At 39.8% G+C, this 16645-nt stretch overlaps 1 protein-coding gene across 1 annotated transcript in view, besides 1 other annotated feature; it reads left to right on the top strand.

Annotated features, from left to right (window-relative positions):
- CCDC6 (coiled-coil domain containing 6) overlaps positions 1–16645 on the top strand; it is a 117810-nt gene that overhangs the window by 88403 nt on the left and 12762 nt on the right. Inside the window, exons 4-7 of the mRNA NM_005436.5 lie at positions 3399–3502; positions 5359–5519; positions 11076–11232; positions 13634–13734. Of these exons, the coding sequence (NP_005427.2) occupies positions 3399–3502; positions 5359–5519; positions 11076–11232; positions 13634–13734 (523 nt within the window). The remainder of the gene's footprint in view (positions 1–3398; positions 3503–5358; positions 5520–11075; positions 11233–13633; positions 13735–16645) is intronic.
- Positions 14478–14979: an enhancer, noted in NCBI's record as "H3K27ac hESC enhancer chr10:61562933-61563434 (GRCh37/hg19 assembly coordinates)". NCBI's record gives its function as "activates a minimal SCP1, AML or CMV promoter by ChIP-STARR-seq in primed H9 embryonic stem cells {active_cell/tissue: H9 hESC(primed)}" and the evidence as "EXISTENCE:reporter gene assay evidence [ECO:0000049][PMID:30033119]".

The following is a 16645-nucleotide window of genomic DNA, read 5'->3' as shown; positions in this document are numbered from 1 at the left end:
CAAGTATTGTTGGCAAAGGAGATAGGCCCACAAACCACAGCTTGATTTGCCCTAAATCCATGTTTCCCTCAAGTTCCTCTGTACTTGCTGGTTGGACAGGACCCAGCAATTTTGGCTGCCATGGTGACCGATATCCGTTCCTATCTTGGTGGCATGACTGCCTGAGTCATGTCATCTTGCAGGCTAGTGGTTTCCTCAGCTTTAAAATGATGATTTGCCATGCTGCTTCTGGCTCTAAATGCGTGTGACGGAACTAGCCCCGACTGAAGACAGCTACTGTCTTGACATTGGGCAGGGAATGACAGAATGGATAGGCCAGAAAGGGACCACAGGCATCATCCAGGCCAAACTTCTCATTTCATAGATGAGGGCATCGGAGCTACAGCAGCTGAGTGACCTGCTCAGAGTCACATGCCTCATTAGTTACATATGGGTAAAGACAGCTTTGTCTTGATTTTGCTTCTCAGAGTTATTGATTAGTATTATGAGTATTTACTCTAAAAGTAATTGAGTATGCATTTCTCCACTAGACATCATACCGCAAAATGATGCCTGCTTGAATTTTTTTCTTGCTTATCAACTACCTCTACCTCCTATGATGCTTTTAAACACTGGAATTGGGATCCTTAAAGGTAAATGCCTCATAGTTATTTGTTTAAATAAACATAATTCTGAGGCTGGGGGCAGTGGCTCACACCTGTAATCTCAACACTTTGGGAGGCCTAGACAGAGGATTGCTTGAGGCCAGGAATTCAAGACCAGCCTGGGCAACGTAGCAAGAACTCATCTCTACAAAAAATAAAAAATTAACCAGGTGTGGTGGTGTGTGCCTGTAGTCCCAGCCACTTGGGAGGCTGAAGCAGGAGGAATGCCTGAGCCCAGTGGGTTAAGGCTACAGTGATCCATGATCGTGCCACTGCACTCCAGCCTGGGCAACAGAGCGAGACCTTGTCTCAAGAAAAGAAAAGAAATGACTGTGGATTGTACTTCAAAGCTTGGCCAAAGTGTATGATGAATGCAGAGAATCACAAGGTTTAATAGGAGTCATATAAGGGTCCCACAATTTCTCATTGTTGCTGCAGGTAGGAATTGTTTAACATTCTGAGGAGCATTTGCACGTTAGTGGGGTCCCAACTTTGCGGCACAATATATTTGACTTATTTTGACACCCTGCACCTCCTCCTTTTTGCCCTTGAACTGTTCTTCAGAATCAAATTCTGCCATGCAAAAACAACATATTTTGAAGCTCTGTTTCCAGTTTGCTACATAATCATGGCTTATTCACTTGTCAAATAAGCCCTCTAATATATATTGATGGCCTATAAGGTGCCAGATGTTATTCTAGATACTGAGGATGTACTAAGGAATGAAACAGACAAGACAAGTCCCTTGTAGGACTTACATTGTGGAGGGCTGGAACAGAAATAGAACGGATATCCAGATATAGTGATTATCATAGCCAAAAAGTGTTGAGTGCTTTCTAAGTGCCCATTAGTTATCAATGGTTTACCTAGATTTACAAATGTAATGCTCACTGTAATCCAATGAGCCAGACATTATTTTTGTCCCTTACTTTGCAAATGGTAAAATTATATCTAGTAATTTTCTCAACATTTTCTAACTAGTGATTGATGGAGCTGGGATTTGAACCTAGGCATTTGGCTCAAAGTCTATGATCATAAGACAGAAGTGTAATTACAGGAGTCTCCCCCCAATGCATTGGCTGCTGTTTTGTGACTGTACCTGTTTGTAGGAAATATTTTAAATATTCAAATGGCCAGTTGTTTCTACAGCTATTTTTATGGCTTTGAGAGGAGAAAAGAAAAGCCTAGAGCTGTGTCGTCACAGGAGAGTTTTTCCCATCTGTTTGAGACCTCCTTTTTTTCTCTAAACTTAGAACATAATGATATCATTATCCTTATATCATTTCCTCTCAGGTCTTGATTGTTCAGGTTCTGAGGCAGCTGATTTTATGCATATTCATTCTGGCTCAGATGTGGAACAAGTAGCTGCTCACCTTCATTGGCTGTCCTGTGCTCCTGTGTGAATATGGGCAAGTCTTTTGCTCTCTGTGAGCTCCTTAAGGACCTTGGGTGGTGTTGGTAGTACTAACCATCTCGGGAGGTTGAGATTGTTGCTTCTTAAGACTAAGCTACGAAGAGTTTCAGAAAGGGGAATGTCATTTGGCTGTAAAAGTAAAACCGCACTTTGGATATTATTTTCTGATGTTTGATTGCTTTAAAAGACTACATTTTATTCATGTTTTTGGTTCTGCCTTATGTATACACACGGGATCTTTGGATGAGGAGCTTGCCTCTGTGACCCACTAAGGAAATGTGGAATCTATTAACATCTTTGTGCAATCAAGAATAATTTGTTGACTCAACCATTGAAAGGTGAATTGCCACTGGTTGAAGAAATAACATGGAAGCAGTAGCATAGGCTCTTTGCATTAAGAAAAAATTTTTAATTATTTAATATGTCAAGTACGGAGAATGATAGAATACATGTCCTCTACTCATTGCTATGAAACCTCTTGCACTTTCAGTCTCTCTTACCAGCCCTCTTTTTCTACATATCTGTTTCATACTGTTTCACAAGTATATAATTGTTTCATTTACTGTCTTGACCCCCACTAAAAGGAAGATCCATGAGGGCAGAAATTCCTGACTCCTTGATTCACTGCTATGCCCCCATTATCCAGTCATTGTTCTCAGTATTTATTACATATTGCTCAATATTGATTAATTGAATTTTCCCATGTTTGCTTCATTGAAATAGAACACTGTTGGGGTTCCCTCCGCAACTGCAAAGCCTCCCCCAAATCAAATTTTCTTCCTTCCCTAAATCCTTAGAGTAACCTAGAGTAACCAGTATTGTGGATTTGGTGTTTATCATATTTTGTGCGTGTTTTTATATCTTAGTACATGTTTATTTATCTCCATTAGCCAGTATGTAGAGTGTTTGGGAGCTTTTAAGAGTTATTTATATGAATAGTAATATAACCTTTCTGACTTACTGTAAGGGACAAGCCCGGAAGAATAACTGTAAGCCCAGAACTGTAAGGGACAAGCCCAGAAAAGTCCTGATATGACTAGTACACCGAACTCCCCTAAAGACCTCTCTAAGGAGGACTTTCCACTTGCCTTGAATAAATGCTGAAACAAGCAATGCATTTCATGTACCAGACAACAATTAAGCATTAACATCCAAGAATGAACCTATCTAGTTTTTTTCAAAGTTTAAGAACTAGATGCACTTAATATGTTTGTGCCAGAAAATTGGCCACATGTTTGCAGTATTCTCCAAGAAAAGGGGTCCTAATTGTTCAATCAAAAAATGTATTAACAAAGTATAAGTGGCCTGACACTTTGGTAACACTTTTTTCCTTCCTTTAGTTGAGACGGGAGAAGATTGACCTTGAAAATACATTGGAACAAGAACAAGAAGCACTAGTTAATCGCCTCTGGAAAAGGATGGATAAGCTTGAAGCTGAAAAGCGGTTTGTTTAGTCTTGCTGTTCAGTATGGGTGTGTGTGTGTGTGTGTGTGTGTTGCTGCTCTGGGTGTGACTGAGGAATAGCAGTAGGACACCTTAATTCTTTGGTGATGCACATCATTTTAATTGGCCAAAGGAAAAAAAATGTTGAAAGCCTTCTGAACTATTCCCATGTTGGGCACCTCTTTATTCTTTGCTATCATACTGTCCCAGTAGAATTTCTTTTCATTTGGTGTTACAAGGCTATGAGAGAATTAGTCATGCTGCTATTGTTCACCTTTAAAGTATTTTCAAGAATGGTTGCAATTTCAACTTTCCACCTTATTGAACTGGCTTCCTCAGTTGTTTTGTAAAGTACATAGGGTATACTGCGTACTATTATTTATACATCTCTGGAATTTACTTCTTTAGGAAGCCTGAGATTTTAATAATAAAATTGTTTTAAAACCTACTGTAAAGAAATACCTTTACATACTTAAGGCTAGGATTCTTTATATAAAATGTATGTACTTGGAAGTGGAATGTCACTCAACAGCAAACATTTCTTAAACCTCTTTGTGCAAGATAGTTAAGCCCTTATTTTCAAGCACTGAGTACTTTGGAGTGTGTGAGGCAGGGCTTGTAAGAATGGGAAGAAGATTCTGTATGTGGAATGTGTGTACGGGTGTAAAAAGTGAGTTTCTTAAAAATGGTCATTAATCTACTTCACCAAGATCTTTTGTTTGCTACCCAGAGCCCTTCCTCCTTAAGTATTTGGTTTGGATGCATATTTGTAATTGTTTTGAGTTCATGTCTACATTTGCAAAATACAGGCATACCACATAGCTTTAAGAAAAGTGAAAATTAGAGCTATATCTATAAGAAATACTTGTTATAATCATATCCACTATGCTTTACTGATAGGTATTATTGTAGCAGTACTAATAAGTTGAATTACGAAAAGTCATTTTATGTAATAAATGCAGGGACCATTATAATATTTAACACACTAGTTTTCTCAAGGGTAGACCTGGATGGAGGTAACTCAGTTTGCTCCTGGACAAACTCAAAGGTACAAAGCAAAAACAAAACAAAAACCCCAGCAGCTATGGAAAGGGATTTAGAGATCTGCTGCCAAAGGAAGACTTTGTAAAAGGCAGTTGGAGGTTTTACATGTATTAGTGCCAAATTATTGGGTTGAACAGTATGGAAGTTTGCATTTTGTAGGTCAGAGCTATTGAATATCAGTATTTTATATCCTTCAACATAAAAATAATTGGTAAAGAAGGTGGCACTACTAATTATTAACCTAACAATTTTGGTTTTGTTTTTAACTTTTTACCTTTGCTGTGGCCAAAAGCAAAGGGCCGCTAGTCCAGTTTGCCATGCCCTTGCAATTAGTTTTGCAGGAGGGAATTTTAGAAGTTGAGTCTCTGTGTTACTTTACCCTCCAAGGAGATTCATAGTAGCTTAGAAGCTTCAATCAAAAGCCGTAAGAAAATGGAATTTCCTCAGCATCTTCATGCACTAAACCCAAGAAGTTGAACATTGAGTCAGCAGGTATTTCTAAGTGCATACTGTATTCCAGGCATAATTATCAGATCCTGTTGTTAAATAAAGACTTTTCAGTATTGTTTAATTTAAAACATTTAATAGTCATTTAAAAGGAAAAAGGGAGATTAGAATCAGCTCTGCCCTTTGAAGTGAGACACCACGTAAGGGCAGAAGTTTGATGTAAAATGGGCAGAGGAATTAAGCAACCCTGTGAATTCTGGCAGTAAACAGGAGTTTGCTTTTAAAACAAACCTGCCAGCTAGTATGTTGTTTTGTCTTTTCAAGGAAAACTGTTAGTCATTGTTGGAATTTTTCTTTTCAATGAAGAATCCTGCAGGAAAAATTAGACCAGCCCGTCTCTGCTCCACCATCGCCTAGAGATATCTCCATGGAGATTGATTCTCCAGAAAATATGATGCGTCACATCAGGTTTTTAAAGAATGAAGTGGAACGGCTGAAGAAGCAACTGAGAGCTGCTCAGTTACAGCGTACGTAGCCTCTGGTTTCACTAGTTTCATGCCTGTAGAATTAATAACTTTACCAAATATAGGGTATTACCAACATTTAATTACTGTTGAATTTGCAGTAATTAAATTCATATATTACTGATGCATGTTTACTTAAGTTCATCATCCTGGAATGGAATTTTTTTTTTTTTTGAGTGTTATAGTAGGGGAGAACAAAACCATTTAGAATACTTCCAGAAAATAATTAAAGTAATTTCAGGAACATCCAGGATCACAAGTAACATTTTTAATCTTCTCTGCCATGTTTATCTCTAGGATTGTGCTAACAAAAATATTGCAGCAGACCTCAAAGCACTTTCAAAATATTAAGGCAGAGAGTAGTGTTTACCTTCCTTACTACTACATTCAACCTTAGCTGACATTTGTTCATGCTATTTGAAGAGTAAATGCTTTTGAAATTTATACTTAATATTTTGGAAGAGGCCAAGATGTTGAGTTGAAAAATCAAAGGACTAGATTTCTGAATATTTGATTATGTCCCTGTGTAGTTTCTTGGGTCTCTCCTATTTGTGGTTTTTTTTTTTTTTTTTTTTGGCTATTCAAATTTATTTTTTTGAACAGATAATTCAGTGAAAGGTATGCAGTGAAAAAATGGGTCTTTCTCTCATTCCTATTCTCTAGCTACCCTGTTCCCACAATTATACATTTGTACTATATTCTTCCAGATATATTTGTATATAAACTTATTTATACACATACAGTTGACCCTTGAACAACACGGGTTTGAACTGTGCTAGTTTACTTATATTGTGGATTTTTTTTTCAATAAATACAGTTGTCCCTTCGTATCTGGAGGTTCTGCATCCACAACCAAAGATGGATGGAAAATACAGTATTCATGGGATGTCAAACCTGTACATGTGGAAGGCTGACTTTTCCTATCTGTGGGTTCCTCAGGGCTGACTACAGGACCTGAGTATGCACACATATTGGTATACTTGGGATTCACAGGTTCTGAGGGACAGCTGTAGTAACACAATGAGCACACTCATTTACACCTTTCTCTTTTCGCTTACTATGCATTGTAGTTTTCTCCCCTGCTGATACATACAAAGCTGCCTTCATCCCTTATTTAAAGGCTGCATAGTATTTGATTGTATGAATATGCCATAATTCAACTAGTCCCATACCAGTGGACCCTTTTTGGTTGCTATGCTACAACCGCAATGAACATCTCTATACACGTGTTTGATACCTGTGCAGGAACACCTTCAGGATAGATTCCAGGAAGTGGATTTGTTGGGCCACATGGAATGTGCATTTTAAAAAGTTCAGTGGTTCCTACCTTTGTTTTCGTCTCTGAAGTTCCTTACAAATTCTTGTGCCGTGGAGCATCTGGGATGGTGTATCAGTATCATCCTTGGAGCCTTTGAGAAATATGGTGTAGTACTTTCCTATTTCTGCTATTACAAATTACCACAAACCTAGAGGCTCAAAACAATACAAACTTAACCATCTTACAGTTCTAAGATGGGACTCACTAGGCTAAAATCAGGGTGTCATCAGGGCAGCCATCCTTCTGGAGGTTGTTGGGGAGCCTCTGTTTCCTCGCCTTTTCCAGCTCTAGAGGCTGCCTGGATTCCCTGGCTTGTGGCCCCTTCCTTGCAGTCGTACCACCCCACCTCTGCCTCTGTTGTTACATCTTCTTTTCACTCTGATTCCCCTGCCTCCCTTTATTAGGATCCTTGTGATTATGTTGGGCCCACTGTGATAATCTAGGATAATCTACCCATCTCAAGCCCCTTAACTTAATCACTTCTGCAAAGGCCCTTCTGTCAAGTGAGGTTAGTAGCATTTATAGGTTTTGGGGATTAGCATGTGGACATCTTTAGGGAATCACTATTCTAGCACCATACAGGTTTCTGGGCTTACTCCATGGAGTAAAAAAGGAGCATATTAAAAAAATATATATATAAGTAATCCTGATGTGGACCTCAGGTTGTTAATTACTATGTGTGTTTGGTGGAAATCAAATGAGATATATCAAATAGTTCTCAAATATTAGTTATTTTAAGATTTTTGAGTTTTTACCATGTGAGTACACAAACATCTTTCAGCACCTTCCTGAACTTTTTCCCGTGCTGTCAGTTTGCATTTTTCCTCCTCCTTTATACTGCTCCATCGTGCCCCTAGCAAAAATTTCAGAAGGAATTTGGGGAGAATGTATGCTTACTACTATCTCCATACTGCACTGTTTAGTCTGAAGAGACTGCAGATACTAACAGAGGCATTTGTAAGTGCTATTTCTGATTTTGTGAGGACAGAGAAAGCTGAACTAAAGAAGCAGCAGTGGCACTTAGCTGCTTGCAGTGATTGGATTGGGCCTAAAGGATGTGTTAGTGACTTTTCATCATCCATTCCTTGCATTCTCCTTAGGTTAGATGACCTGGGCCTCTTTTGGATGCAGCTATGGCAGGTGGCTCCTCACCCTCCAAGCTTGACTGCATCTGAACTTGAACCTCTCTCTCAACAGTTCTCAGCAATGTTTGAACGTTGGCATCGCCTGGCCAGCTTTTAATAGACCAGTGGCTAGGACTCATCCTTGGAATTCTGACTGAATTGGCTTGGGGTATAGTCTGGGCACTGGTATTTTCTAACTGTGAACTTGGAAGGGAATGCAAGCCATGCAGATCTTTGGATCATTTGGGAGCCACCTCTTTGGAATCTGTGTGGAAGTCATCCGCAGTTCACACCATCTTTGACTAAAATACAGTAAGTCCTTACTTCACATCATCCTTGGGTTCTTGGAAACTGAGACTTTAAGTGAAACAACTTTCTGTATAACCAAACCAATTTTACCGTAGGCTAACTGATACAAACAAGAGTTAAGTTCCTATGGCATACATATGTTGTTTCACTTAAAGTCACAGTTTCCAAGGATCTGTGGATGATGTTAAGTGAGGGCCTACTATATTGGGAGATGGCTGTAGACCTGGGGAAATATAAGCTGTGGCCCCTAAGTACTAGGGAGTTCTGTGTGCAAGAGGAAGGAGGAGGACTCATAGGAACAAATCTGGTCAGGTGAGGCTGTGTGCCAGCAGGGGGCAGCCAAGGAATGCTCTGGTGACAGCCTTCTGTGTGTGAGTCAGTGACACCCAGAGGTGTTGGACCTGGTGCCTTCTCTGTGCCTCTGTCTTCTAGGTCAATTGCTGAACTGCCAGGAAGTCTTCCCAGCCGATCACTGCAGGGGACATTCTTATCTATAGATATATTGTTTAAGGATCCCCCTGCTGAGTTCCCCGATGCTAAAGGATTGCCATTTTTTCTTTGAAAGACAATGTTCTCTGAAGTTATTGTTCTTGGAGCCTCACTAATGTTAATTCTGCAAAGGATTTCATGGTAGTCTCCAGCACCCTTCCTGTAAAAGGCATTATAAGAGTCCTATTATGGAAAAGAAAGTCAGCTTGCTCTGACAGTCACCCTTCTAGTTCTAGAAACAGCAAATACTCCAAGGGGTCAATCTTTTGTTTCCTGTAGAGCCAAGTGAAAAATTCTGCATGCTTGCATATTTGGGATCAAATAATTTAAATCGTTTATATTAAAAGTGTACTTTGTAAATATTTTCCCAGCATGCCTTCAATTAAAGAGATTTTTGTGTCTGGATTAGACAGCGGGGTTTCTGGCTATGTTGAAACAGCCAAGGGATTTAGTGTTTAGTGCACGTAATAGTGTTTAATAATTTTGGTATTTTTATTTGAATTTCTAAAATAAGGATATTCAAGAGCTTTTGTATATCTGTAATGATGCTGTCTTGGAAATCATTGAATACTTATCAGAAGTCTTTATTGGCTAAAATGCCAGACCTTTGTAGAGTTGCTTAAAACTGAAACTAATTTGATGGGCATTGAGAGTTGAAATAGGGTCAGTCTGTGGGAGAAAAATGCTCATTGTGGCATTCAGCTCCCTCCTTCTTCCCTAAATTTGGACCGAACTGACAATATGGAACAGCAGCCTACAGGAAACTCTCTTAGACGTGCTCATGGCCACTGAATTTGTAGCTGCTTTTCAGAAAAGAGAAGTATATGGAGATTTTACTTTTCCCAAGTTCATTGACAAAGACAAGGAAAAGAAATGAAGCAAGAAGATGGGTAGACACCACATTTTGTATTAGATAATTCTGGTTACTTGGTAGCAGATTCTGTGTGAGATAAACCAGAAAGGAATGGGGGCGGTGGGGAGGTTGTCAAAAGAGGAAGGAAGACGTGTTTTTCTTTTTTTGGAAGGTTGTGGAGTATGCCACAGAATCCTGTGAAGAATAACCTTGGAAGGACAAGAGTTTTGATGGCTCCGGGGAACTTAGCTGAAGCAGACCCTGGATCCCCATAAAGATGTCAGTTCCCCATTTCAGATTCCTGGGAGAGGTAGTCTAAGTGGCTCAGCCTGGGTCCAACAGCTAGTGCCAGGGCTAGTCAGCTCTGTCCTGGGAGATGGGTGCTGTAGCAGAGACCTGGATTTGTGGGGGAGCTCCTGAGGAAGGGGTATTTGTCATAAGCAAGATGCCATCCCTAGAGGTGCCAGCTATATACAGGACTTCACCTGCCCTCTGCCGCTACGTGTGTGTGAGTCAGGGTAACAGACAGCCACACACACACCACAAATTAGACTTGGAAATATTAATCTGAAGTTTTCTAGTTTACTATGTCAATGTCTATTCTCGTGAAAAGAATGTTAACTGTTATCACATGTTCTAGTACAGTGGTTCTTGGTGTGCCGCCACCACTGTGCACAGCGGGAATGCCAACAAGTGTCACAGGCTCCCCTAGATGGCTTGCTGTGTCTGGAGTTGAGAGGCAGCCAAACTGGTGTCTAGAGCAGAGCCCATGGGCAGAATCTGGGCCTCCCTCCTTTCCCAGCTCTGGCAATGTAGAGAAGAGCTCTTGTAGTGGCTACTTGTAGACTCCAATTCCACCATTTCCTCTTCTACTTAAAGCACTTTAGAATGCAAATGAGTGGGAGTGACGATGCCTAACCTGCCAACACTGCCTTTTATATTTTTTTCTAAATGCAAATAATTGGTAAACTTTTATACTTGAGATAAACTTTAAATCCATATCTCATCTATGTGTGGGAGAATGAGAAAGACCAGATATCTTTTTTGTTTCTTTGTTTTTTGAGACAGAGTCTTGCTGTGTTGCCCAGGCTGAAGTGCAGTAGCTCAGTCTCGCTCACTACAACCTCCACCTCCTGAGTTCAAGCAGTTCTCCTGCCTCAGCCTCCCGAATAGCTGGGATTACAGGTGCCTGCCACCACGCCCAGCTAATGTTTGTATTTTTAGTAGAGACTGAGTTTCACCATGTTAGCCAGGCTGGTCTCGAACTCCTGACATCAGGTGATCCGCCTTCCTCAGCCTCCCCAAGTGCCAGGATTACAAGTGTGAGCCACCATACCCGACCAGAAAGACCATCTTGTAACAATTCCCTCTGTCTATGGCATAGGGGCTGAACTGAAGTCTCCTTTTTTTTAGATTTGGATATGATTGCATGAAACATGGTTTAATTGAAAACTCTGACTTTTCAGATTCAGAGAAAATGGCACAGTATCTGGAGGAGGAACGTCACATGAGAGAAGAGAACTTGAGGCTCCAGAGGAAGCTGCAGAGGGAGATGGAGAGAAGAGAAGCCCTCTGTCGACAGCTCTCCGAGAGTGAGTCCAGCTTAGAAATGGACGACGAAAGGTGTGTGCATGTCTTATGAGCCTTGTTTTTGTTTAAAAAATAAAACCCAGGTTCTACAGAGGTTTTCTTTGGTATCCTGTTAGGTGTATAAGGGGATGGCTTAAATATGTATTTATTGTGCTAATGAATGCCACTGCGTTATAGTAGATGCCAAGAATGGGATAAAGATTGAACATTTTCCTTAAACACAAAAAGATGAAAAAAATCACCTCTCTAAAATCATTTGGTGGGGAGAGAAATGGAGACAGGGTTATATTAGAGAAGCAGCAGAGTTTGCATTTGTTGTTGAATTAGTTTAATCCAGTGTCATATCTGTTTAAAGCATGGGAACATATTAATTCCTGTACTGTATAAGGATAAGCAAGCTATAGTGCAGCTCGAGGAAAACAGTGCATGCGTAGGTTGAAAAGAATCAGTAGGGACACAGGTGGGGGTTGTTGAAATCCCAAGGACTTGCCTTAACACACTTGATAACTTTTGAGCCTTTTTGTAGCCACTTAAAAAAAAATAAAACTAATGGATTGCATTCATCTGTTCAAACCTAAGCAATGAATCCCCTCATTGCCCCACTGTGAGTGATCTGGAATAACAGACCCATCCTTTGGTTAACTAGCAGAAATGGTCTCAAGTATTTGTGCCTCATCCAGTTCTCTTCCCTCTTCCTCCTCTCTAAATTCGGGATAAGGTAGTGGTAAGATAACAAACAAGTATAAATGGAAAAAGATGTTCAATCTGCAGAGAAACCCAGAAGTTAGAGAATTAACCTTTCTCTGAACCAGATCATTTCTGCAAGGAAATTCTCCATTCTGGATCAGCGATGCCCTGGCGTTACATGGGCGGTATCTTAGTGTGAGAGGTGAGACTGAGTATTCTTGGGGGTCCCTCCAGCAGGACTGGGCATTCAGTGTCTGAAACCAGGCCTACTCATGGCTGTGACGAGTAGTACTGCCTGTTGATGCCAATACGTGCTGTCCAAAACATGTAGGCAATGTTAGCACATCTGTACTCTGTTTCTATTATGGAATGGATCTAGAGGACTAACAACGCTGTTGATCAGTTTGCTGTGGACAGTGACTTTATTGTTAAAAATTTAAGATTATCTATAATGAAAGTCTATATTTTTATAATGAGAAAAAAAGGAAAACAGTAACAGGTTATTCTATTTTAAATACCTATGTGTATGCCTCTTCATTTGGAAATAATAAAGATTATTCTTTCTCAAAACTTTGCCTTATAAAACTACAGTTCCCCATTCTTCCTAAAATCTATATCCCTTAAGAACCATTTGACTAAAACTGCCAGCTAGAATACTAAATAGCTTATTAACTATCTTCAGATACAGATCATATATAGCATCTGGGACCCAGTTTGGGGTAAGATACACTCTAAGGAAATATGTCTTTTGACTGCAGTGTCAATAGTGAAGCAATTTCAGCCTTCCAGATAAATATTTTTTTCCAGAACCGGTATTCATTTCAGAAAGTTTGCCCTACCTTTTGTAGGTCAGATTATCCACAGCTGCCCAATAAATACTTTCCCTACTAGGAACAATGATACTACATTTGGGAGAAAGAAAATTGTCCGGCACTTAAGAGACCACAAGATGCCTCTTAGTCTACTAGTGGATGTGTGGAGTACAAGAAGTTCCACCTGGTGCCACTAGGGTGGGTCGCTCGTGCAGGATGGTTTATCAGGAAGTCTCTCAAGCAGCAATTTCTCCTCGTCAGCGCACCATGCTCATTTCACAGAGTGTAAGCTGATGTTCCTGATGATCACACTTCAGCATTTTCAGGTCTGATGTGACTTCTGAATCCAGGAAAAAGGCAGACTCAGCATGGTGTGACTAAGCGTGACCTGCTGTAGGTGTTCAGTACTCAAGGCTTATTAAATCCTAGTGTGTGACTGTCTGTTAAGCAGGGCTTGCTTGTAAACAGTTGATACTCAGTTCATAGGAATAAGTATCTGTAGGCTTTAATTTGATGACATAAATCTCAGAGGGCTTGCTTGGTTTTGAGTTTCAAATAACAATTTAAATGTCACCACTAACATGTGAGTGTCTTTGTAACTCTTGGGACAGTGGAGGTGAATTTCAACATAGCTGTTGTGTGATGGAGGAAAAACTGGTCCTCTCTGTGGTGTGGTGCACCTCTTTCACCTGGCTTCCATCCTGAGCTAAAACATCCTAGGTCTCCCAACTGGTGACCCTTGGAGTGAGGTTTGTCAAACAGCAGAGCGGTGTGACTCAGGAGTCCATTTTATAAATGCCTTTTAACTATAACATCACTCTAAACATTCAGGATTTTGACCTCAAGGTGTGAACCCCAAACATTTTCTCTTAAAAACTCTCCTAAGGCCTATTTAAATGCAGGTGGTTTTATCGTTTCCTCCTCTCTCCTCTTAGGTATTTTAATGAGATGTCTGCACAAGGATTAAGACCTCGCACTGTGTCCAGCCCGATCCCTTACACACCTTCTCCGAGTTCAAGCAGGCCTATATCACCTGGTGAGCATATGTCTTTGGCTATTTCAGTGACTGATTCCTGGCACATTGAATAGGCAACCCTGACTGTGTTCCCTTCTAGTGTATAAAAATCTTGGAAACAGGGATAATAATCATGTCTTTTTCAAAAACATCAAAAACTCATCACTCTCAAGGCTAAGAGTTTGAAAATTTTAAGCATAAATGCTAGAGTGTCAGCTGGTGTTTCTCTTCTTCTTCTTTTTTTTTTTTTAATCTAAAAGGAATTTGACTGTAAAACACCTTTTAAAAAGAAGAATGTCTTTGACTATGATTTTAAGTGCTAATGGGTAGACAAAAAAGCCTTAGGTAGATTTCCAAGATGCATCATAGCACACCTTTTATGGGTTCTTTTACCATATTCCACATACATTAATCTCATTTTTGTCCTCAGAATAATTAATGTAGTCATCATTTTCCCCATGTTAAAATGAGGAAGCAGCAATTCAGAGGGTCACTACTGGTTACACAGCCAGGAAGTGGCAAGGCAGGGCCTATCTGTTTAAAGAGCCTGTGTGTTCTTTCTAGCATGAGCTGCCTCCTGATATTTCCAGTGATTGGTGAGTGGGACCTGGCCCTAGCAGGCAGGCTGCAGAAGAGGGAACGAACTTCTGTCAGGCAGCCTGCTTCTGGCTTTGCCCTCACAACCTTTCCCTCAAAGGATTGCTTGTCTCCATCTGACCCCAAAAACTGTTTCCTGAGCTCTGTGGCTCAATACCAGCATGGCATGGGGCTCTCAGGCCAGGGAGGCAAGTAGCTGATCCAGTGAGAGAGAAAGAGGAGCAGAGGGTGGAGTGGGTGGCCAGTGGAGTAGGGGGAGGAAAGAAAAGGTGATGGGCCAAAGAATCACATCTTGTGACCAAAATGATGAGACTGATTTTCTTGTGCTTGCTGGTAAGCAGATTTTCAGCAGAGTTGGGAGAAAAGTATGGAGGGGACTGTGACAGAGGCAGAGTTTTGCAGTAGAATAGAGTGAGGTGACTGCTTTGAAGGAAGGCAGCATAAAGTTTTTATAAAGTAAAACAGCGTTGCATCAGGATAACAAAAGTTCACAGCACTGTGCTGCCATTAACTTTTTTTTTTTTTAAGAGGAGGCAATCAAAAGTTAAAGTCTAGCACAAAGGGTGGCCGCCTTTGTACCGATGGGCCAGTGTGCTCTCTGGTGTCAGGCAGGGGTAAAGATGCTGATTCCAAAGCAGAAGGACTTCCTATCAGAGATCAGTGGCACAATCATCACAACTTGTTCTTGCCAAAAAGATGTTCCCCAACCTGTTTCTTCCATCTTCCAGTGCCATTAAATCTCTCTTCAGAAGCTTCTCTTCTAGCTGCCTCTCAATTTTCCCAAAATAGCACTTGGGTTTCATTACCATGATAAAGGTCTTTTTTGCCTTCTGATTTATTGATGTAAAAGGAAGTCATGAGTCAAGAAGAAGTAAAATGGAGGATTGTTTCATTATTTTGTGATGGTGATGCTGATTCATATTAAAGATAATTTAATACCCTGTTTGATTTATTTAAACGTAAAGCCTTAGAGGCATGTAATTTCCGATTGATTAAAGAGATTGTTGCAATCATTGAGAAAAGAAAAAGAACAAATGTCAGACCTTGGTTAGGAATATTCCTTCTATTTTAACAAAGATTCTTCAGGAAAATCTTACTGTATTTACATAATTTTTACTTTCACTGTACCTGTTCCCATAGTGGGACCTACATCAAGTGTGGGGCTTGCTTGGATAGATAAGCTATTTGACTTTTCTTAAACTATGTCATAAGTAACACCTAGATTTTTTTTCCTTACAGCTAGCCTAAATGAGAATATTTTTATCCTGTTTTAAATTCTATAACATCACCAAAGGAGATTTTGTCTATTTGGCAGCAGAATTACTCTATTCTGATCTAGTACATTGTAGTGCTATACATAGTAGATCACCAAAACCTGAATATTCCAGTTTTCTTTTCACATTAGTTTTTATTGGAAAAAATTTGTGGCTGTAAGCATTAAGAATATCTAATCACTTCCTTAGTGGAAATATGCTGTTTGAATAGCATTCATTTCCATTTTAAACATATTGGCTCTGAATTTTCCTCCTTTTCTGGTTGACATTGGAAATCTTGTGTTTTCACTAACTTCACTAACTTGTTGAAATATTGGCAATTACATATTGAAAATGTACTTGAAAAATACATAGCCTAAAACTAAGAAAGAGCATCATCTTTATTATATTTGGACTGCTTTTATGAATTATATATAGGAAGAGTGTTATCTTTCAGTTTGTCCATCATTTTATGCAGTATAATGAAGGATATTCCCAGTTAGCCTGTTTTGATGTGTCTGAATTAGGGATAGGCAATAATGAGGTCTAAAAAATAGGTCTGCACCCTCATAGCAATGAACGTACCCCACAGACATTGGTTTCGATCCAGTTAAAAGAACTAGAGCTACTTGGAGAAATGAATGTTTCTAGAGCTGGGGCACTGAATGTACGAGATGAGCTGGGTGAGATAACTTGTAGTGCAAAAGAGTAAACAAGTGCCCAGAAAACAAAGTGATGAGGGTATGTCAGAGGGATACAGGAGCTCCCAAACACCAAAACTGGGACAATTTGAGCAGTATTAATTACTATATTATAACATTATTTAATATAATAAAATATAATTCAAACATCAAACAAATATCCAAAGTCCATACTGATATGAATAAATGACTAAATAAATAAACAAGGGAGAAGACACAGATCCTCACGGAGAGAATTCCAGATAATATACGTAGATATTCCATCCTCAAGGAGATGGAAATAACTCTACTCCTTAAATGTGGGATATGCGACTGTAAGGTCAAGTATAAGATGAAAACCTGGCAAAGGAGATGAGGAAGTTGCTACCAGAAAAGTGGAAA

The sequence above is a fragment of the Homo sapiens genome, chromosome 10, assembly GCF_000001405.40.
Source record: "Homo sapiens chromosome 10, GRCh38.p14 Primary Assembly".
Lineage (NCBI taxonomy): Eukaryota > Metazoa > Chordata > Mammalia > Primates > Hominidae > Homo > Homo sapiens.
Note: the sequence above shows the minus strand (reverse complement) of the source record. Positions and strands in the feature narration are given on the sequence as shown.